General features: G+C 44.5%; 1 protein-coding gene across 3 annotated transcripts; it reads right to left on the reverse strand.

Annotated features, from left to right (window-relative positions):
- Positions 1-1,466: 1,466 nt before the first annotated feature.
- On the reverse strand, positions 1,467-20,280 carry PSG11 (pregnancy specific beta-1-glycoprotein 11). 3 transcript variants are annotated; one of them, NM_002785.3, is made up of 6 exons: positions 20,120-20,280; positions 18,502-18,867; positions 12,581-12,859; positions 8,927-9,181; positions 3,769-3,852; positions 1,467-1,853 (listed from the first exon to the last, which is right to left on the reverse strand). In NM_002785.3, exons 1-5 carry the CDS (start codon positions 20,181-20,183, stop codon positions 3,809-3,811), a joined length of 1,008 nt encoding a protein of 335 aa, NP_002776.3. In that variant the 5' UTR covers positions 20,184-20,280; the 3' UTR covers positions 1,467-1,853; positions 3,769-3,808. The 3 variants fall into 3 exon arrangements, with proteins under 3 accessions (NP_002776.3, NP_001106881.1, NP_976032.2); NM_001113410.2 differs by lacking the exon at positions 18,502-18,867; NM_203287.2 differs by lacking the exon at positions 18,502-18,867 and having other exon boundaries at positions 1,467-1,921.
- Between the last annotated feature and the right edge of the window lie 2,892 nt (positions 20,281-23,172).

The following is a 23,172-nucleotide window of genomic DNA, read 5'->3' on the forward strand; positions in this document are numbered from 1 at the left end:
CATTTAATGATTTTTACAACTGACTGTGTAATACCCAATGTATTTATCCATATGCAATAAGAAGTGTCAGAAACTGCACAGGCTCCCCCCGTTCAGCTGATAGAGAGCAATTCTATTATCTAGCATTGCATGTCTATGTTAAATTAAAACAGGGAGTGAGAATAGGCAAGTATAGAAGTGGAAGCCTAAAAAAATCTCCATACATTTGAGGAAAAAGTTGTGTTACAGATGCAGCTAATGTCAGCCTTTGGGTGGATTAAAGGATCTCTTGGTATGTAAAAATGTGTGGGCTGGGTGTGGTGGCTCACGCCTGTAATCCCAGCACTTTGGGAGGCTGAGGCATGCGGATCACCTGAGGTTGGGAGTTCAAGACCAGCCTGACCAACATGGAGAAACCCTGTCTCTACTGAAAATACAAAATTAGCTGGGCTTGGTGGCACATGCCTGTAATCCCAGCTACTGGGGAGGCTGAAGCAGGAGAATCACTTGAACCCAGGAGGCGGAGGTTGCTGTGAGCCAAGATTGTGCCATTGCAGTCCAGCATGGGCAACAAGAGTGAAACTCCATCTTATAAAAAAAAAAAAAGTGTGGTTGACATGATATATCTGACACTGTTAACTTACTCTCAGAAGCTACTTCTTGTGAAATCCTAAGTACAGCATTATTCTGGGAAGCAAAGGAGACAGGCATAAGCAAGGAGAAATTCAGAGAGGTAAGAGTCTCATCATGATTGATAGTCTTGTTCTGACATCTTGAGAAAAGCTGTCCACAGTGTAAAGTCATCAACTTGTTGTCGTGGTTTGCAGTTTGAGTGTCTCTAAGTTATGGTGTTGGACATTTGGTGAGCTCTTAGTGGCCCACACCTCAGACATGAGGGTTTTCCCATGAAATTTACATTGAGTTGTCCACCTCCAACTTATATGGCTTCAGGAACAGAGCCACTCTTGTTCTTAATGATTTCATTGGAGAAAATTGAATTGGAAGAACTAAAAGAATTCAGGGTCCAGTCCAGTCTACCAGTGGATTATAAATACTCAATGATAATGAACAGTGGTTCAATCTGGTAACAGGTGTACTACAGTTTTTCTTTTCAACATAGTTTTTCTGTCTATAGGAGTCTCTATTTTTACCAAAGATAATTCCAGTAGGATGAATTTGTTTGCAAAATAGGTTGAGTCTCACCGAACTTGCCCAGATTTTTTAGCTAAGTGCGGCAAGAGTAGCAAGGGACCATAGAGGCTCTTTTTAAACTTCTCTTTGCTAGAAGTTTTTAATAAGAATCTCAGATTAAACTTCCAAAAACCTCTTGAGACTAGGAAGCCAACCCAAGGCCCGCTTCAGACTTTGCCTGCATTCCCTATGGGTTTATTCTATGTATATTCTCAAATATAACATCCCAGTCAAAGCCTTGGTAATATAACCAATGTTTTCAAATGTGTCCTGTTATAAAGAGAGCAGATTCTTACTAAACTTGTGCAAATAACTTTATTACCATAAACATATGAATATTCATGAATAGATTCCCAATTCTGGGGCACTCAGAGAGCAAAAGCAAATGTTTCAATTTTTGTTTACAAAAGTATACTTTACCAATTGCTGAAGAAAAAAATTCATAAATCTGGAGGATAAAACATTCAAAAAATCAGCACATTTTCCAATAAAAAATTATGAAAACATTATCCTTTTGTTATTTAGTCCAATGAAATGGAGTTCTTTTCTTCTTTGTCTTGAATTTCATGAAGGTATCAGCCTGTTCATCAAAATTTTGAAAGTTCTTAGTCCAGTGGTATGATCTTGAAGTTATCAGGAACTTGTATTCAAGAGTCCTTTTCATAGTCTTTTCCATAAATCTCCTTGAAGAAAAAGCAATTTTGGACTGTAGCTGATTTTAAATACTTTGAGGAAGAATCAAAGCAACTTTCTGGGAATGACAAAGATTTAAAATGACTATGTTTAAAAATCTAATGAGAATTTATTATGGTAAAGACACAGCTCACATAGAAATCTAGTTACTTCTGTGGCTTATGACACTATGGTAACATATTTGATTTCCAGAAATTTCATATAATTTTTAGAACACTCATTTTTTTAAATTTTTTTTGAGATGGAGTCTCACTCTGTCATCCAGACTGGAGTGCAGTGGTGCAATCTCAGTTCACTGCAAGCTCTGCCTCCCGGGTTCATGCCATTCTTCTGCCTCAGCCTCCTGAGTAGCTGGGACTACAGGTGCCTGCCACCACACCCAGCTAATTTTGTTTTTGCGTTTTTGGTAGAGATGGGGTTTCACTGTGTTAGCCAGGAAGGTCTGGATCTCCTGACCTTATGATCCACCCACCTCAGTCTCCCAAAGTGCTGGGATTACAGGCATGAGCCATCGCACCCAGCCTAGAATACTCATATTATTAACATTCCCATAAATATTATTTAGAGAAGGTTTAGCATCACTTATCCCTTATTTGAAAATGCTTTCTATATAATGTAATATATAAAATAAGGTGGCTTTTCCATTCAGCTTCTGTTTCTCAAGAGGATTACTGAGTTCTTGGTGTAGCCCATTCATAAATAGGGCCAAAAAGGTATAGTCTTATGTATGTTGAAAAAGATCCTTAGGTAATTCCAGTACTTCTAGCTGAAAATCATTCATTTAGTTTTAAGTTCTACCTATTGCAACAAGAGTTCTCCATCCTTGTTACATGTTAGTAGTGTCAGGGAAGACTTAAAAATTACCAATGCCTGGGTCCGTCTCCAGACCTTTAAACTGGAACTAATGGGTGGGGCTTGAGCATCCTCTTTTAAAAATGTTTTCCAGTGATTCCAATGTGTAGCTCTATTTCCCATCAGATTTCTCTGATTTCTTGTGGCATTCAATTTTTTCTATTTTGGTATCATGATTATTTTCAGGTCTCATTTCCTGTCTTAGGCTTTGTGTCTCCTGGGGTGGGGCCCTTGCCTTCTTCATTTCTGTATGTTTTTTGAACACATGAACTGATCATCAGGAAAAGATCTCAACCACACATAGGTTGTGTCCTGAGTCTCAGGTTCACATGTTAATCCTAAAGTCTTTGTTCTCCACGAGGTCAGATGTTGCTTGTGATGAAGGGTGTGGTTAAGTCTGCAGTGCAGATGGTGGAAGGGATTTCACTCTGTTTTTAGACATAGCATTGGAACTAAGAATTTTATGTCTATATGGGTGAAGGGGCAGGGATGTGTAGGAAGACAGTTCTAATTAGGATGGAGGAATTATACTAGGAAGTAGAGGTAAAGGAAGTGAGAAGGCTTAGTAAATAGAAGAAATGTGAACTTATCAAATAGGCTAGTGTATACCCCTGGAGATTCTTGATTAAGTGAATTAACTAGATTTTAGAAAGGTAATGAGGCAGTTATATGCAAGGAACATTTCAAAGTCTGGAGACAAGAAGTCAAGCAATACTTTGAGAAGTGGTTGAGCTTTATGGGAATGGAGAGAATTACACTATTGAGATATGTTAAAAATAATGAAGAAGGTTTCACCATGTGAAATTGTGTTTCTCATTTGAATCTGAGAAACAAATGAGCAGAGGCTGGAGATAATTATGTCTAAAAGACAGTGGGGTACAGGGAGCATAAAGGCCAGGGAGAAAGGGAACTGCAGGAATTAGTGCTGAGAAGCAGGAGTTAGTGGATGAAGGAGGAGATCCAGGCCCAGATACAGGCAAATAAGTCATTTCCCTCTCCCAAGCATGGCAGTCAGCCCTGCAGGAACCAGGATAAGAGAAAAGGTCATCATACCTGCCAGTCTTCCTGAAATACAAAAATGACATCACGGCTGCTACGTTGGATTATTGAAAGCAAAAGTTCCTAATCCTGGAGGAGCTGTCATGGAAAGAAAAGAAAAGAAGGAATGAAGGTGATGTTATTTTACATGGGGGAGCGTCAGGAACAAGCATGTAACATGAGATACTGTATAATTGTTTCTTCAAGGACTACATTATTTCTGTTGGAAAATTGATGGGAGATGATTATATTCTTGCAGTTTTTTTTCCCTCTCACCATGTTTCTCAGTTGGTGATCAGTCCTCTGTCAATTCTCTACTGCACTCAGGTATTTTGGAAGGCTTTCAGACGTGAGAAAGGCTGATTGCTATTTTCTATGTCATTGGAACTTGTCACCTTTGCACCTTTTCATGGTTGCATCTTTTTCTCAGTGTCTCTGTTGTGGCAGTCATGAATGAGACTCTGTCAGATCTCCATGGCAGGGACCTGATTGACAGAAGGCCCAGGTCAGTGCATTTCAAATTCACCACCTCCTTTGCACAGAAAGCTTCTTTCCTACAGGCTCCCAGGAAGGGTGTGAAAGCAAGCCTAGTTCTCTGAGGCTCTCTTTAACGCTAATGGGTGACTGGTTGGAGGATTCCTCATCAGCCTTGCAAAAACTCTTAGAATTGCATTGGTACCTAAAACTTCTTTCTCTTTCTTTTTCACAGGAATCAGCTCTGCATAGTGGTCTGTGGGTTCTCCTGTACTACCTTCATGCCTGCCCCACATTCCCTCACAGGTGTCTTCCGTGATAAATTATCGTTTAGGTCTAATCCCGTCTTGGATGCATCTCAGTTGGTAAAAACTAACATACCAGGCTTGATTCTTTGCAGTTAGCTCTTTATCTTTCTCTCCCACAAGTAGTCAGTAGCCTTGTTCTAGTGTTTTATGTGTTACCTCTTTTTCCATATATATATATATATATATATATGGAAAAAGGAAGGTACTGTTGAGGGGCACTTCCTATGTGCCAGGCCCTGTGCTAAATACTTTACCTGTATCTCATTTAATCCACACAATAACCCTGTGAGGTAGACATTATTTCCATTTTGCCAATGAAAAGACAGAAGCTTAGCGTGCTGTAAAAACTTTCCTGGTGTCATATGGCTAGTGACAGGTGGATCTGAGATTTGATTCTAGGACTATTTGACCTCAAGGTTAATGATGATGATAGTAATATAGTAGCTGACATTGGTTCCTCTGTATGTGGCATCTTGTTTCATTGACTGCATGAAACCTTTAAAAGAATGGTACGAAGAAAACACTCTCATTGCAATTTTCAGGTGAGGAATCAGAGGTTCAGAGAAGTTGAGTCTTGTGCAAGAAATTTATAACTGTAAACTCTTACATTAAAAAAGAAGAAAGATCTCAGGTCAACAACCTACTTTAACACTTCAGGATATGAAAGAAGAACAAACTAAACCCAAGCACAGTGAATGAGGGAAATAATAAGGATTAGAGTTGATATAAATAAAATGGAGAATGGAAAAAGAATAGAGAAATTAATGAAACCAAAAGTTGATTCTTCAAAATAAAATCAACAAAATTGACAACCATTAACTAGATTGACTAAGAAAAAAAGAGAAAAGTTTAAAATTACTCAAATCAGAAATGAAAATGGACTCTGAGCATGGTGGGTCATGTTTTAATCCTAGCACTTTGGGAGGTCACAGCAGAAGGATTTCTTGAGACCAGGTGTTTTGACCAGCATAGGTAACCTGGGGAGATACTGTCTCTACAAAAAAATTAAAAAGCCAACTAGCTGCGCATGGTGACATGCACCTGTAGTCCTAGCATCTTGGGAGGCTGAAGAAGGAGAATTGCTTGAGCCCAGGAGGTTGAGGCTGCAGTGAGCCATAATCACACCACTGTATTCCATCCTGGGCTGGCCTACAGAGTGAGAGTCTGTCTCTCTCTCTTAAAAAAAAAAAAAGAAAGAAAAATGAAGCGATTACTACCAATTATAATAAAATAATGATTATGAAAGTACTATAAATAATTGTATGCCAATAAATTGGATAACCTAGATGAAATAGACAAACTCCTAGAAACACACAAAAATATGAATAAAACTATAATCAGTAACAAGATTCAATCCATAAAAGCATTTGATGAAATTCAATATTTTTTCATAAGAAAAACATTCTAAGAATGGAAGGAAACCACCTCAACATAAAGGCAATATGTGAAAAACCCAATGCTAACATCATACTCAATGGAGAAAGACTGAAAGCTTCCCCTCTATGAGCAGGAACAAGACAAGGATGCCTGCTTTTGACACTTTTATTCAACATAGTATTGAAAGGTCTAGTCAAAAAAATTAGGCAAGAATTTTAAAAAAGACATTCAAATTGGAAGGAAGGAGTAAAATTATTTCTGTTTACAGATAACTTGAACTTATATGTAGAAAATCCTAAAGGTGGAACAAACTTATTAGAATTAATAAATAAATTCAGTAATGTTGCACAATACAAAATCAACATTCAAACATCAGTTGTATTTCAATACACTAACCATGAACAATCTGAAGGGAAGTTAAGAAAAATAATTTCAATTTATATTAACCTCAAAAAGAATAAAATATTTAAGAATAACCAAAGAGGTGAAATGATTATACCTGAAATCTGCAAAATATTGCTGAAAGAAATGAAAGACAATATCAATAAATGGAAAGACATTTTGTTTTCATGAATTGGAAGACTCAATATTGTTAGGAGGACAGTGCTACCCAAAGTGAGCTGTGGATTCAATGCAATTCCTTCAGAATCTCAGTGACATTTTTGCAGAAAAAGAAAAATCTGTCCTAAAATTTATATTGAATCTCATGACTCTAAATAGACACACAGCTTTGAAGAGGAAGAATGAAGCTGGAGGACTCAGACTTCCTGATTTCAGCATTTACTACAAAGCCCCAGTAATCAATACAGTGTGGTACTGGCATAAAGGAGGACATAGAAATTAATGAAATATCATAGCCCAGAAAGAAATGCTTGCATATATGGCCAAATGATTTTCATCGAGTGTGCCAAGATCATTCAATGGGGAAGGGACAGTGTTCTCACCAAATGGTATTGGGAAAGCTGGATATCCAAGGGCAAGAAGAGTGGAACCTTTACCTAACACCATGTACAAAAATTAACCCACAATAAATCATAGATCTAAATGTGAGAGCAAAAACTATACAACTCTTAGAAGAAAAGCTTCATGATACTGGATTTCACAATAATTCCTTGGTTGTAACAACAAAAGCATAGGCAACAAATAAAATCAATAAATCGGACTTCACAAAAATCAAAACCTTTTATATATCAAAGAACATTATCAAGAAAGTAAAAAGGCAACCCATGAAATGATAAAAATATTTGCAAATTATATGTGTGATAAGAAATTAATTTCCAGAATACATGAAAAGCTACAAGTCAACAACAGCAGACATCCAAAAACCCAATTAAAAAATGAACAAAGGATTAAAATGGAGTTTTATCCAAGGAAGGAACACAAATATCCAATAAGCCCATGCAAAGTTCCTCAGCATCATGAATACTTAGAGATATACAAATCAAAACCACAATGTTACACCACCTCACAAAATTTAGGATGGTTTTGATAAACAATAACAATGACAGCAACACAAAACAACAGGTGTTTTCAAGTAGATGGAAAAATTGGAGCTCTAGTGCATTGCTGATGGGAATGGGAAATGTTACAGCCACTGTAAAAATTGGTGTGCTGTTTCTCAAAAAATTAAACAATGAATTACCATTTGATCCAGCAATTCCACTTCTGGACATACTCCCCATAGAATTGAAAGAAATTTGAACAAATATTTGTACACTGATGTTTAGAGAAGCATTACTCACACTAGCCAAAAAATGGAAACAACTGAAAAGTCCATTGAAAGATAAGTGTGTAGGCAAAGGAGGTGTATCTATACATTGAAATGTTATTCAAACTTAACAAGGAATAAAATTCCAATATATCGTGCAAAATGGATGAACCTTGAAGATATTATGCTAACTGAAATAAGCCAGACACAAAAGGTAATTATTATATAATTCCATTTATAAAAGATAGAGTAGCCAGTTACATAGAGACAGAAAGTAGAATGGTGGGTGCTAAGTGTTAGGGGGAGAAGGAGTGAGAGTTACTGTTTATTGGGTACAGAGGTTTAATATGGTAAGAGGAAAAAGTTCTGGAAATGGATAGTGTGATGGTTACATAACACTAAATTGCACACTTAGAAACAGTTAATGGTAAGCCTTATATTAGATATATATAGTGTCTGGTAGTCTTACCCTCTCTATAATTACACACTTTTTGGCACTGCCCCTTTCCTGCCATGCAGAGCCCCAGGGGTGAATCTTCCTATTTCTCCAGCTCTGCATCAGTCACTGTACTCAGTGCTGTGTCCCACGTGCTGTGCCCACAGCCTCATACAGCCAGTGACTTCAGAGCCAGGACGCAGCTCAGGAGTCTGCCCTGAGGTTGCTTCTCTTCTTATTTCCTTGCAGCCTGGCCCGGGGGAGGCTTGGCTTGAACTGGCAGCTCAATTTAGCCAAATTCAGGACAGGCCACCAGGACTCTTTCTCCACACATGCTGGTCCCACCCCAGGTTGAGTGAGGCAGGGCCAGTCACCAGAGGAGCCCGGAGCAGAGCAGGAAGCAGAGTCTGAGCTGCTCCTCCCTCACCCAAGGGGCTTCCTCCTCTCATTTGGGGGAAAAGTGTGAGCTTGTTTCAAAGCCTCAGATGTTCCTTGTAGTTCATGGAAGAGGTACAAGAAAACAAAGACGTGACAGAAGGGGATGAGTTGGTGACAGTGAGAAGCAACTCGATGTTCAGCACTCTCCTTCTTGTCCCTCTGTGAAGCCTCTTCTACCACATAGGGCTCAGGGCTGATAAAGCCCCCTCCCTACCTTTCTCAGGCCAGACACAAGGTCAGTCATGAGAAAACAGAAAAAAAAGGAGAAGAGAGTCTGTAGAGACAAATTGGGAGGGTTCAGGAGGAGAATTTGGGATTTGCCTGTGCCCATGGGACACAGGCTGGGAATAAAAATGTTTTCCTGACTCTTCTCTGAAAGCTAGATAGACTCCACCTAAAACCCTATTGCCAAGGATGCTGGGATCCACTTACCAATGACTCTGATTGTCAAGGATGTGGAGCTTTCCTCGCCAGTGGCTGAGTTACGAGCAGAGCAAGCATAGAGCCCATTATGCTTTGGAGTAATCTGAGGGATAAAGAGCTTTTGTCCTGATAGCTGAAACTTCCCATTAATTGTCCAAGAATACTGTGCTGGTGGGTTAGAGTTTGCGAAGCAGGACAAGTCGAGGTTCTCTCCTGAATAGTAAGAGGTGACTGAAGGGAAAATTCTGGGGAGGTCTGGACCATCTGGAGGAAAGAGAATAAAGCCACAGTTGATGTCATCTGAGGGAAGGGGAAGCTCCTTGTCTCTTAAAGGGACACAGTGACCCTCTGAGCCAAGACACACCCTCAAGTCCCAGCCAAACCCCCTCTATGTTCACTGAGCTGAAGCCTGAAGTATTCACCTGTTTCTCCCACCACAAGCTGTGGGCCCCAAGTCTCCCATGACAAGAGCATCCCCTCTCCTTATATTCTTGGTTAAGGCTGTGTCTACCCAAGTTTTCCCAGGGCAGGGAGTCATGGCCACCTCGGATGTCCAAAAGTAAAGGTGTCTGTACTTGGACCGGAGAGAGACTGAGAGGCCTGGCCCCTGGTCGTTTGGATTTAAGCTGGTGTCCTGGCCCACAGAGGAACAAAAGATACAGAGGACATTCAGGGTGACTGAGTCACTGCGGATGCCACCATATCGGTCCCGTATTTCACATTGATAGGGTCCTGTTTCATTTCTCGTGACACTGGGTAGAATGAGGATCCTGTTTTCAATGGGTCGCTTTACCCTGGGACTGACCGGGAGGCTCTGACAATTTAGCCACCAAATGTAGGCATAGTTCTCACTCTTAGGTTCACAGGTGAAGGTTAAGACATCCTTATTCTCCCTGGGGTTTAAGTTGTTGATGGTGATGTAGGGCATGGGCAGCTTTGCTGTGTGGATAACAGAGAGAAGATTGTCCTGTGTGGCACCTTTGATTCCTCCACAGGCATCCTTCAATCAGAGTTGGCATCTCCCACCTCTCAGCCCACCCGAGTCCTTGAAAGCCAATAGCTGGTGCGTGTGTCACAAGACAGATGCATGATGATCTAAGGGCTCAAAGACTGTGAGGCCGCCTGCTTCATCTTAGGAAAGCACAGACTTTCTGAAGTGTCAATTGAGCAGCAGTGTTGGGTCATGGACAGATACGTCAGTGGGAGTCACAGCCCCTGGTACCCCTCCCAGTCCCTCCATAATCAGTTGACTGGCTGGCTCACCTTGGGTTCCTTACCTGGAATGTGCAACTGCTGGGCCCCTTCCAAATTCCATCCTACTTTGCCCCCCTAGATGTGATTTCTCTGCAGCTTCCATTTCCAAGGACATTCTAGAGATCAGTAATAATGGGACTTCCCATTGTCCTGAAACCCTGAAGATACTGAGCAGCCTGGCCTGGGACTGGATGTTTCAGCAGAAATAACACAGGGGAGACCAGAGTCAAGCCTGGAGGTCAGTTCAGTCATCAGGCAGTGGAGGCAGAAAGTGGGGCAGTGTTTTGCAGGTGTTTCATGATGACTTACTTGAACCAGTGACCTCTAAAGATAGAGCAGAGCGCAAGGAATGATCTAGGAAGAGTGAAGGGGATAGGCAAGAGCTGGTGGCTTTGGAGCAGAACCATGTTCCCTGTCCTGGGTCCTTTAAGTTTCCTTTCCTTCTGCAGAGGGCAGGTGAGGACCATGTGGATCTTTCCAGAAATACATGTGGACATTTGCAAATGCAGAACTGACTGGTGGAAAGGGTGGGAATGAACTGCTGGAAATCTGGTCCTCATGGACCATATGTGTTTGATGGATATGAGACAAATTTGGAGAAAAGTTTTGCAAGTAGTTTCTTTCATTGGATATTCTACTCTCTGATCCCCTGGGTTCGACTACTCTAGGGACCTCATGTAAATGGATTCCAGAGTGAATATGAGAAGAGACTGCTGGTTGCCAGGAGCTGGGAGTGGGGAGAATCAGAAGTTGTTCATGGGTGTGCAGTTTCCGTTATACAAGTTGGGGAGTTTCTAGAGATCTGCTGTAGAGCTTGATGCGTATTGTTCACACAGATTATTTCTTATGCATAAGACTTAGGACAAAAAGTGTTTTGGATTTCTGACATTTTTTGATTCTGAAATATTTGTCATATACTTACTGGTTTAGCATCCCAAATCTGAAAGATTCAAAATCTAAAATGCTTCAGTGAGAATTTCTTTTCAGCATCAGATTAGTAGACAAAAGTGGGAAGTGATAAGCCAAATATATTCTTGCCCTTTTTTTTCTCTCACCACATTTCTAGCTTGGTGATTAGTTTTCGGTGAATTCCATACTGGCCATGCTGCACTCATATATATTTGAAGGCTTTGGGATGTGAGAAAGGCTGATTGCTATTTTCTATGTCATCAAAACTTTCCACCTTTTCATGGTTGCATCTTTTTCACAGTGTTTCTGTTGTGGCAGTCATTAATAAGTGCCTGTCAGGTCAGATTTAGGACAGAGTTTTCTAATTCTGCAAAAAATGTTACTGGGATTCTAGTAGGGGTTGCATTGAATCTGCAACTCACTTTGGGTAGTATTGTCTTTCTAACAATATTGATTCTTCCAGTCCATGAAAATGAAGTGTCTTTCCATATAATGATATTGTCTTTAATTTCTTTCAGCAATGTTTTGTAGTTTTCAAGGTATAATCATTTGACCTTTTTGGTTAAACTTATTCCAAAATATTTTATTCCTTTTCATGTTAATGTGAATTGAAATTCTTTCCTTAATTTCCTTTCAGATTGTTCATTGTTAGTGTATAGTCTAAAGAATGATCTAGAAAGAGTGAAGGGGACAGGCAAATGCTGGTGGTTTTGGAGCAGAAACATATTCCCTGTCCTGGGTTTTTGATTTTCCCTCTCCCTTTGCAGAGGGCAGGTGGCTCTTCCCTGATAGCTAGATAGACTTCCCTGGAAAACATAGTGCCAATGCTCCAGGGATCCACTTACCAGGGACTATGATCCTCTTGATTATGAGATTTGTTCCACCAGTGGCTGAGTTATGGATGAAACAGACATAGACCCCTCTATATGTTTTAGTGATTTGGGGTATGAAGAACACTTGTGCTGATTGCTGGAACTTCCCACCAATCAGCCAAGAATGCTCTGCCAGTGGGTGAGTGTCTATGAGACAGGAGAGCTTGGGGACTTCCCCTGTATGGTAATAGGTGTATGAGGAAGAAATGGTGAGGGCATCCAGGCCATCTGGAGCAAAGAGAATAAAGTCACAGGTGACATTGTCAGAGGGAAGGGAAAATCCTGGTCTGTGGAAGGGCCACAGTGACCCTGTGAGCCAAGTCGCAAGACTGAAGTCCCAGCCAAATCCTCGCTGTGTTCACTGATCTGGAGCCTGAGACATTCACCTGTTTCTCCCATCACAATCTGTGGACCCTGAGCCTCCCATGACAGGAGCAGCCTCTTTTCTCCCACTGTGGATCAAGCCTAGGCCTACTGTGGTTTGTCTGGGGCAGAAAGTCATGGCCAGCTTTGATGTCCAGTGGTAAAGGTCTCTGTACTTGGACCTGAGAGGGACTGAGAGGCCTGGCCTCTGGCCATGTGTATTTGGGATGGCAGCCTGGCTCACAGAGGAACAGAAGATACTCACGGAGGAGATTCAGGGTGACTGGGTCACTGCGGCTGGCACTCCCTGAGTTCCATATTTCACATTCATAGGGTCCTGCAGTATACTTTGTGACACCAAATAGAAAGAGGGTCCTGTTGGTTTCAGACAGCTGCATCCTATGAGTCATAGGGAGGCTCTGACCATTCATCCACCACAGGTAGCTTGCGTCCGGAGTCTCAGGATTACAGGTTAAGATCACAGTCTCCATGGCCTCCCTGGGGTTTAAGTTGCTGCTGGAGATGGAGGGCTTGGGAGTCTCCACTGTGCAGAAAACAGAGAGAAGATTGCCCTGTGTGGCACCTTTGATTCCTCCAAAGGCATTTTTCAATCAGAATTGGCATTTGCCACCTCTCAGCCCACCCGAGTCCCTAAAAGCCCATGGCAGGTGTGTGTGTTACAACACAGATGCATGGCATTCTGAAGGCTAAGAGATTGTGAGGCTGCCTGCTTTATGTGGGAGAAGCACAGACTTTCTCAGGTGTGAATTGAGCAGCAGCATTGGGTCATGGAAAGACACAGGACCAGCAGTCATAGCCCCTGGTGCCTCTCTGAGTCCCTCCATCTCCAACTGCCTGCCTGGCCCACCTTTTGGTCCTGACTTGGAGCATGCAGTGCTGGAATCTTCTTAGTTTCAGTCTTACTTTTCCCCCCAAGGTATGTTTTCTCTGCAGCTTCCCTTGCCAAGGACATCCTAGAGATGGATGATGGAACTTCCCATTGTCCTTAAACCCTTTGGGTACTGGAAAGCCTGGCCTGGGACTGGGTACTTCAGCAGAAATAACACAGGGGAGACCAGAGTCAAGCCTGGAGGTCAGTTCAGTCATCAGGCAGTGCAGCCACAAGGTGGGGCAGTTTTCCCAGGTGTCTCATAGTGACTGACTTGAGCCAGTGACCTCTAAAGATAGAGCAGAGTCCAAGGAATGACCTACAAAGAGTGAAGGGGACAGGCAAGAGCTGATAGCTTTGAACCAAGACCATGTTCCCTGTTGTGGGTCTATGATGCTCCCTTCCCCCAGTAGAGGGCAGGTGAGGACCATGTGGATCTTTCTGGAAATACATGTGGATGTTTGCAAATGCAGAACTGACTGGTGGAAAGGGCAAACATGAACTGATGATGGAAGTCTGGCCCTCATGGACCATATGTGTTTGGTAGATATTAGACCAATATTTGGGAAGAAGTCTTGCAGATACTTTCTCTCATTAGACATTCTACCCTCTGATTCTGAGTTTGACTACTCTATGTACCTGATATCAGTGGATTCCAGAGTGAATCAGAGTGTAGAATAGTAGTTTCCAGGAGCTGGGATCAGGGGAATTGGGTGTTGTTCCGTGGGTGTGCGGTTTCAGTTATGCAGGACGAGGAGGTTCTAGAGATCTCCTGTACAGATTCATGCCTATAGTTCATACAGATAAAGTGCTTCTTATGCAGAAAGGTTAAAACAAAGTGTTTTGGAATTCTAATTTTTTTTATTTTGGAATATTTGCAGTACATGTACTGGTTTAGCATCCCAAATCTGAAAAATTTAAAATCCACAATGCGCCAGTGAGCACTTCTTTTTAGCATCACATCAGTGGTCAGAAGTGTAAAGTTTTGGAGCATTTCAGATTGTGGATTTCTGGATTTGGGATGCTCCATATTTAATACTGTAATTATCCCATAAAAAGTTGTCAGGAGATTAGACCTCATGTTGTGTTCTGACTCTAGTAACAAAAAAAAAATTTGGAGGAAACATTAAAATGTTTTCATAAGTGGAAATTTTTACTGATGGTCTAAACATCTAAGATCAATTGCTGGTAGTAGTATTTCTCTTGAGACCAACATAAGGTTTAGGTGTGCCATGAATTCCAGCAGGATCACATTATGCTCAAAGAAAGATGCCAAAGGTGATTTGAAATTAGCAGCTCCTTAAGTAGAGAGAGTCCCGTTAAAAGGACAGAACTGGTCAGTGCATCAATTACATAAAAGGAGGAAGGATGCCAAATTAAAAGAAGTGATGTGTGTTATGTTAGTAAATATAGAAAGAACTTCCTGCTTCTAATTTCTGTGCAGTTAGGAAAAATGGGGAGGACCCCAAAACAGGTATGTGAAATGCTTTCTTCATTTTCTGTTAAGCTCAGGAAACACCACTAGAGTTTAAGTTTGTGTGAATTAGAAGGAGTCTAAGTGAGATGCCAATGGCTCATGTGTCTCCCCACACGAAGAACTCCAACTTATGAAAACGGCATCATCATGAGGAAACAGTTGTATGTGGCACAGGCAGTAAAACCATCAGATAGCACCCACCTGGCCACCTCCAACTAGTCCCCAAAACCACCAGTATTCCTCTTAAGTATGTGTTACAGCCTTTGTAGTTGTCCCACAGCTACAAAATTTTAAAAATGCTATTGTCAAAACAAAATATTAAATATGAAGTTGAATATGTTGATCCACTTTTTTTCCCTACTCTTTTTGGACTTTCCTGTTTCAGTTTTGGAAATTTCTATTGACACATCCTCAAGCTAGGGATTCCTTCCTCAGCTGTGTGCAGTCTACCAGTAAGCATCAAAAGAATTCTTCATTTCTCTTACAGCATTTTTATTTTTTCTGAGAGAGACTCTTGCTCTGCCAGGCTGGAGTGCAGTGGCATGATCTCAGCTCACTGCAAGCTCCACCTCCCGGGTTCACACCATTCTCCTGCCTCGACCTCCCAAGTAGCTGGTACTACAGGTGCCCACCACCATGCCCAGCTAATTTTTTGTATTTTTAGCACAGATGGGCTTTAACCATGTTAGCCAGGATGGTCTCCATCTCCTGACCTTGTGCCTGCCCCAGTCTCCCAAAGTGCTGCGATTATAGGCATCAGCCACTGTGCCCAGCCATCTCAAAGGGATTTTAATGAGTTGTTGACTTTTGAGTTTGTTCAGCTTTTTACTTAGTGTTAGAACCGAGTGACAAATTTCAAGCTTGTCATATGCCTGACACGAAGCCAGAAGTCTCTAGGAAGTGATCAGAGAATGTAAGCTCCATAGCACGTTGACGATGGAGTCATGAGTGAAACAGGTGAAATGAGCTCATGGGCTTTGGAGACTGCAGGCCTGTCCAGCCTCTGACACCCTGGTGAGTCAGTGCAGAGATTACAACAGTGACAGCAAACTAGCATGGCTGACTCCATCTGGCATCTAGTCTCAGGCTGGCTGTCCTCACTCATTCCTGCACATAGACAAGGCTAACCTTGGGAGAAATTTAGTTTATGGTTTAACTTTGAAGCAAGAATGATAATAGTTCCTCCATAAAACTAACACCCTTACTTTGCCCAGGGACTGCCTTTGTCAAACTAGTGAAAGACCATGAGATTTAGATTATAAGAGGGAACTGAATTCTGCTAAAATGTATGCACAGTTTCTATAATCCCTGACTGCTGCAATGTCATTTGGCAAGGGTTTACAAAATTTGTAACTAATTGCTCCTATAGATAACATCACTATTGTAGAACGTGAGATTGGTCTTTTGAGATGCTTCTCATTCTTTTGCATTCTGGCAACCAGCTGACCTCATCCATACCTATGACTAATGGCTCAGCCCGTCATGTGGTCCCTACCTAGAGGCAGATTCAAGCACAAACAGATCATTTCCCTCCGCCCGCATGATTCCATCACCAACAATCAGCAGTACTCATTTTTTAGTCCTGTGCCCCTGAAACTATCCTTGAAAATCTCTAAGCCCTGATCCACTGGGGAGGCTGATTTCAGTAATAATAAACCTCTGTCCTCCTGTTTGGCAGACTTGGAGTCATTAAAATCTTTCTTTACTAAAAATCACCATTTCAATAAATTTGTGTGTTTGTGTGTGTGTGTGCAGGAGGCCAGAAGAACTTGTCTGACAATGATAAGAGTGGTTGGAGGGACTTCCTATCCCTGTCCCATGGTCTTGTCCACAGGTCAGCCTCACAAAGGGGAAGAGCCCTTGATGGGAATACAGTGGAAGCTCATTCTCTTAGTGACCTGGGGACATTGGCTCGAGATGAAGCCTGGCAGGAGTGGCAACTCCAGGTGATTTCTGCACCTTTCCTATTTCCTGGGAGGTGGGCCAGGCCACAGTGTTAGCGGGAAGGGAATAGAACAGCCAGCCTAGTTAGAGGGAGTGTCTGGGGAAGGCCTAGGGGTGGGGGAAGAAGCTGTGCAGGACAGGGCTTGCCAGTCAGAATGAAGTGGGAGGAAGATGAGGGACACAGAGAAGCAGAGAGAGGCAGAGACACCATGGCAGTGAGCAGTGAGGGAGACACTGACTTCAGAGCCCCCAGGAACCAGCTGCCCCCAGTTCCACAGTCCAGGACCAAGGAGCCCCGAGAACCCTCTGGTGGCCAAAGAGCTTCAGAGTTACATGAGGTGGGGTGGCTTTAGGGGCAAGAGGTAGTGGGGGGATGAAACATGGGTGTCAGCCTCTGAAGGACAAGGGACAGGTGTGGCTAGAACCTCCTAGGATTCTGCATTCAAGATCCAGTCTCTAAAGAGGTTTTGGATCATTCATTTCTTCATTCCATTCCTTCATTTGTTATGTGAGAGCTCCTGAGTGTGTGTCTCTCGCTGGGCCTGTGCTGGTGTAGGGAGTGAGTGGGGAAAGAAAACAAGGTCCTCTCCTTGATCCTCTCATGACAGTGACATGGACACTTTGGGAAACACAGAGTTTCAGGTTCAGTGATGGGGGTTAAGATCTGAGGGGGAGGCCTGGACATTTTTTTTGCACTGACTTTGATGGTTGAAGCAGGTGATTTAGTTCTGGAGTATAGACTAATCAGCTGACCATTTGCTCTCACTCCTCTGAGGTTTGGATGCCTAAGAAGAGAGGATTTGAGCCAATAAATGACTATGGGGTGCTTGGAACCCAGTAAGCCCTCACTTCTGGTGGAGGAGAGGATGGGCCTGTGGCTGCAGACAGACCTCATGTGACCCTGATCTCCCCTTTGCGTTTGTGTGACTCTGATTCAGTGACTGTGCCTTCCTGTGCCTCAGTTTTCTCTCAATCAGATAAGTTAAATGGCAAATGGACTGTGGCTTTTCATGCTATCTGTGAATAAATGTTAAATTATTCACAGTCACCTGACCTAATGCTTGGCACAGTGGAGGTGTTCACACAAGCAGCATTTATTATTAATTTGCTTCCATGAGAAAGCACCTTTACGTCAGATCCCTGTGGACAAGCTGCTACCAGGTACATCTTCTCTCTTCTGTTTCTGCTTCTGAGGACATTAGACTTTCTATGGACTGTCCTAAGCCTCCTAAGGCAGTTGGCTGATGACCTACAAAGCTTGTCTTTCTGTCCTCTCCACTCTGAGTGTCAGGTGAAGAAAGCTCTGTCCTTGCCCAGATGAGGCTCTGAGGGCTGAGCCCTGGCTGGTGAACAGCTCCAGGAGACACAGTCCTCAGACAGCTGGTAAATTCTTGGTCCCAGTAAGCCCTGCCCAAGAAGCCACAACCCAGCCCTGGAACAGGCTCCTCAGCTTTATCTGGAACAAGGATTTAGGTACAGAGTTCTGGGTTTGAGGCTTCTAGGGCTGAGCTTCTCTGAGAGTATCTCAGGGGCCCCTCAGGTCAAATTCTACTCAGTTCTCCAGGGTCTTTCTCAGGGTCAAATTTATGAAGAGGGCATGAGGTGCTTGGCTGAGACTGATCTCCTCCTGCTGAGTCCCCCCATCAGACTGTCCTTCCTCTGCAGCGAGTGTCTGCAGGGTCTGGATGCGGGAAAGGAATTCTGATCTGTTGAAATTTGTCTCCTCTGTGTGTGTCCTGCACTAAATGCCCAAACCCCAGCATGGGACATAATGCAGAGAGGGACACAGGCAATGTCCAGGCCTGACAATCCTGTGTGTGTGATGTAGAAGTGACCCCTGTCCCCCAACACCCAGGGATCATGTGGAATCACTTACGGTATAAGGTGAAGGTGAAATATCCAGTTACTCCTCTAGTCCCATCACCTCGCTTTATGATGTGTAAGGTGTAGGATCCTGCGTCCTCCCGGGTGACATTCTGGATCAGCAGGGATGCATTGGAATATACTGTTTCTCGTCCACTGTATGCCGGTCCATATATAATTATTTGACCGTCTACTACATATGATGTAATGTAATGGTAGAGGTCCCTGATTTGCCCTTTGTACCAGATGTAGCCAGTAAGATTCTGGGGCAAATTGTGGACAAGTAGAAGAACATCCTTCCCCTCGGACACTTTGGGTGGCTGGGCTTCAATCATGACTTGGGCAGTGGTAGGCAAGTTCCAGAAGTTTAAAAGTAATGCTAGGAGGTGGAGAGAGCATCAGTCAATATTGAGACCTATGTATTGGGGTGAAAAGATGGGGCCCTGAGTCCTGAGAAGGTCTCTTCAATCCTCAGCCTTGAAGACACACACACACACACACACACACATACAAACATACACACACAGAAAAGGGGCATGTGTGTTTGTGTATGTGTATGTGTGTGTGTTCTACTGTCCTACTAGGTCAAGGTCAGCAGCATGACCCCCATTCCTTCAACACTTCTGACCTTGGCATTTTTCTGTTTGGAATCCTCTTCCCCAGGGGTCCGCATGGCCCCCTCCACACTGCCCTCAGGTCCTGCTCACATCAGGGCATCCTTAGACTTCTTTCCTGACACCTCCTTCAGGGACTCTGGGTCTTCCCTTTCTGACCTTTCCCTGCTCTGCTCCCTCCAGGGTTCTTGTCAACACCTGACCTCACATTCTAGATCTCTTTGCATGTCTGACTTCCTCCCCATGGCAGCATGAGCTCCGTGAGGACAGGGACTTTTGTGATCTTGGTTGCACCCCAGTGCCTGGAACAGGCTGCAGACTCCTGTAGATGTGAGAGTTCTCAGGGCCGTCCACGCCCTGGGTGTTTTTTTTTTTTTCCCCAATTGTTGAGGTTTTTTATTGAGGACAGTGTTTCATGCCCTGTTTATTTTTATTTGTAGTGTCATCTGATATAGTTATTATTATCATTTTTCAAAATGTGGTGGCCCCTGATGATTAATCAGGAAAACAGAACACCTGTTTCCTACCTCTTACCAATTCCGGTTCAATGTGACTTTCCTGTTTTGACCCCTGTCCCTCTTGGGTGTATTTTCCCCTATCCAGGCATCAACAGGGCCTTCTTTCCTTTTTTTTTTTTTTTTTCTCTTTTTTTTTTTTTTTTTTTTTTTGAGATGGAGTCTCGTACTGTCACCCAGCCTGGCGTGCAGTGGCACTATCTCAGCTCACTGCAACTTCCGCCACCCTGGTTCACGTGATTCTCCTGCCTTGGCCTCCTGAGTAGCTAGGATTACAGGAGCACACCACCATACCTGGTTAATTTTTTGTACTTTTAGAAGAGACAGGGCTTCACTCTGTTGGCTGGACTGATCTTGAACTCCTGATCTCGTGATCCACCCACCTCAGCCTCCCTAAATGCTGGCTTTTTTATTTTTTAGAACCCCAGGAGCCTCTCCAGGAGACCCCATCCAGTCACTCTGCTTCCTCCTCCTGTCCTCTCCCAGGAAGTTCTCTCCTCACCTGTGAGCAGGAGCCCCTTCCATTTGATGTGCTCTGTGCAGGGAGGGGCTGAGAGGGGCCCCATGATCTCTGCTGCGTGCATGTTCTCCTCTGTGGAGATGAGCCTAGGATCCAGAAGCTTCCAGAGCACGGCTGTCAGCTGTGCTGTCCTTCCTCCTTCTGCGCTGAGACTCTTCCCGGTGGAAGGAGCACTTCTCAAGCTCATGGGCAGGGTCAGGCCGAGGACACCTCTCTGTCCCCTCCTCTCTCAGCCCTGCCTCCTTGTCCCTCCTTCTGTTTTTCCTTTTGTCTGTGTTTCAGGTCCCTGGGAATTGTGGAGGCCTCTGCCTTTTTCAGCAGTGATTCTTTCACCAAACCTCAATACACACTTTGTGCGGACACACACATACACACACACACAGAAGAGACACACACAGACCCACACAGTCAGACACATACCCTGCAGGTTGGGCAAGCAGAGTCCTGGGCCTCAGCCTCCTGCTGTCCCCATTGCTCTTGGTCGGGGTGCACATTCACACCCTTTGCCCTCTTTCATCCCCGTCTGGCTCTCCCCTTCAGTGCAGGAGGCTGGAGCTGCACCAGGTCCCTGTCAGAGTGACACCCCATTGTGCTGTGGGTGAGCTGTGTGTTGCCTGGTGAGAGGGACCCTTCTTTTCTCCAATCGTGTCTAGCTTGGCTGCAGCTTCCAAGGATGGACATTGAGGACCTGGGTTTCCCAGAGGAAACTGTCCTTCCTGGAGGTGTGCAGGGTGAATCTTTCATGCCTCCTGGGAGGAGAGGCCTGTGCTGGTTGCTCAGTGGGGGCTGTGAGTCCCATAGTCAAAGGGAAAGTTCTCGGTCACTCTGTGACTCCATGGGGTCTGGCAGCTGAGCTGGAGCTCTTGGTTTCTCATGTTCTTCCTGACAATCTTTGATGTCCTTTCTTCTCTGCCGAGCTGATTGTCCTGTGGTCACCACACCTTCCCCGTGGTGGTGCAGGAGGAAGTGGGGAGTTACCCAGGAATCCCGCGGGACATGACTTATTGAGACGCAGGAGGAGGAGCCTGGGACAGAGCAGGGGTTCAGAGCTGGAGAGATTCATCCCGACTTACTCCGTGGCCATGATGGGCTCAGCCCTCCATGTGCTGAGATACCCAGGGGTCTGTCCTGAGGGTTTTGACCTGGCCAAGCTGCTGTGTGTAGAGGAGGAACAGGCAGTGGCCAGAGATCCTGTCTGGAGGGACGTAGCTCACACCTGAGAGGGCGGGTGGGGGTGAGTTGTGTTCTGGGAGCAAAGAGCAATAACACCCCCCTTCTCCCCGCAAGCACACGGGAGACGTCTGTCTTCCCAAGAGACAGCTGGGGGTAGGTGGCCACATCCCGGATGGTGCCTGTGTGTGACCATCACACGCGCTCTGAGCCCTCCGGGGTTCAGTGAGCAGGCAGGTCACAGGGTGCCTGGCTGATTCCCGGTGAGGCTGTGGGCCCTCAGGCAGCCGCTATTCTGTGTCAGCGCTAAGCTTGGCCTGGGATGCCCCAGTGAACAGGACAGATGGAGCAGGGGTGGGCATTTAGGGAGCAGTGACAGAAAGAGTTGATGTTGATGGAGGGAGGTCACGAGGGGAAAGCGCCCAGTGTGGCATCGCGTGCACCAGCGCTGCCCTGGGAGATGCCTTTAGCTGGGCCCAGGGAAGGAGCAGGTGTGTGGGGCAGGAACTACCTGTAGGGGGAGTGGTGTTAGGTTGGTGGCCCCCAGGTCAGGGAGGAGCTGACAGAGACCCTGTGGGGAGCATGGAGGGCGCTGAGGACTTAGTCCGAAGTGACCCTGGTGAGGGTGGACCCTGCTGGGCTGTGGGTTCCGCTGAGGGCGGTTGGCATCCCTTGGGAAGACTCCAGGCCGGGAGGGACTCTGTCGCCTTCTGGTGGACAGGGAGGGAAGTGTGAACGGCAGCAATCCCAGGCCAGGCTGCATGTTTTATTCTACGTGGATCTGCACACTTCACACAAGGTCACACATATGTTATGTTATAGCTCCTTCACCTTCCAGCCCCGTGAGTCCCAGTCTGTGTGGCTCTACGTTCACTGTTCTCCCTCTTTCACGATCAGATATCCCAAACGCAGATGTTTGTCACTTTCTGTGAGTTTGTGTTTGTGTGCAGTAGGCGGCACTGTGTATACCCTGGGGGCAGTGATGTCTGGGGCTGAGCGCTGCACTTGGGCTTGGGAGAAGAAGACGGAGCAGCAGGGTGGGAAGATCAATGTCAGGGGGGCAGGGACATCATTTTCATTTTCTCCCAGGGACCAGAACCCACGATTTTGACTCCAGGGCACAGTACCACACCCTGCTGGTGTCCCTGGATGTCATGATGCTCATAGTGTCATGTTGCCTTGGCATTCATTTTTTAAGTTGTAAGTTTATTTGCCTCAAATCAGAGGCAGGGCTTGGTCACCATGGCAGTTTTCAATACTGTATCTGGTTCAGGTGGCTCCAGTTGGTGTCCAGAGATAAAATCTTAGAGGCATCTCTCCTGCTTGGTGTGCTGGACTCCCCTCTCTCCAGCTGCTTTCTTTAAACTGATAATTCTGACATTCGCCCTCATATTTAAAGTGACCACCTCTCAGTCACAGCGTGAGCTCCTGGTCCCAGTGTTTGCTGCTTTCTTTGAACACATCCATTAAAGCTCCCTGCTGGAAATCTGTCATATAACACCCTGGACTTAATAAAGCCATTGGCTTACCAGTCTCTTCTCTCCTCCCTGCCTGGGCTCACTGAACTCTGTGTCTGCGGTCTCCAGGTGTGCCGAGTGCTCCCTAGTGTCTGTAAGTAGTAAAAATACTGACATTTTCACTTTGTGGTTGTATCATTGTAGCCTCACATGCCATCCAGAGGCTGACATTGAGGCTGCCCTATGGGACCTGTGCTGGTTGAGCCTCTGCTGGAGCTCTTGTTTTGGGGCCTCTGGTACTCCTGGGGACAGGAGCTTCCAGGTAACTTGATTGAAAAACTCATGCCTTTCATTGAAACACTGGGTCAGATGATGTATTCATGGGCTTCAGCTGCCATAACAAATGCC

The sequence above is a fragment of the Homo sapiens genome, chromosome 19 (assembly GCF_000001405.40).
Source record: "Homo sapiens chromosome 19, GRCh38.p14 Primary Assembly".
Classification (NCBI taxonomy): domain Eukaryota; kingdom Metazoa; phylum Chordata; class Mammalia; order Primates; family Hominidae; genus Homo; species Homo sapiens.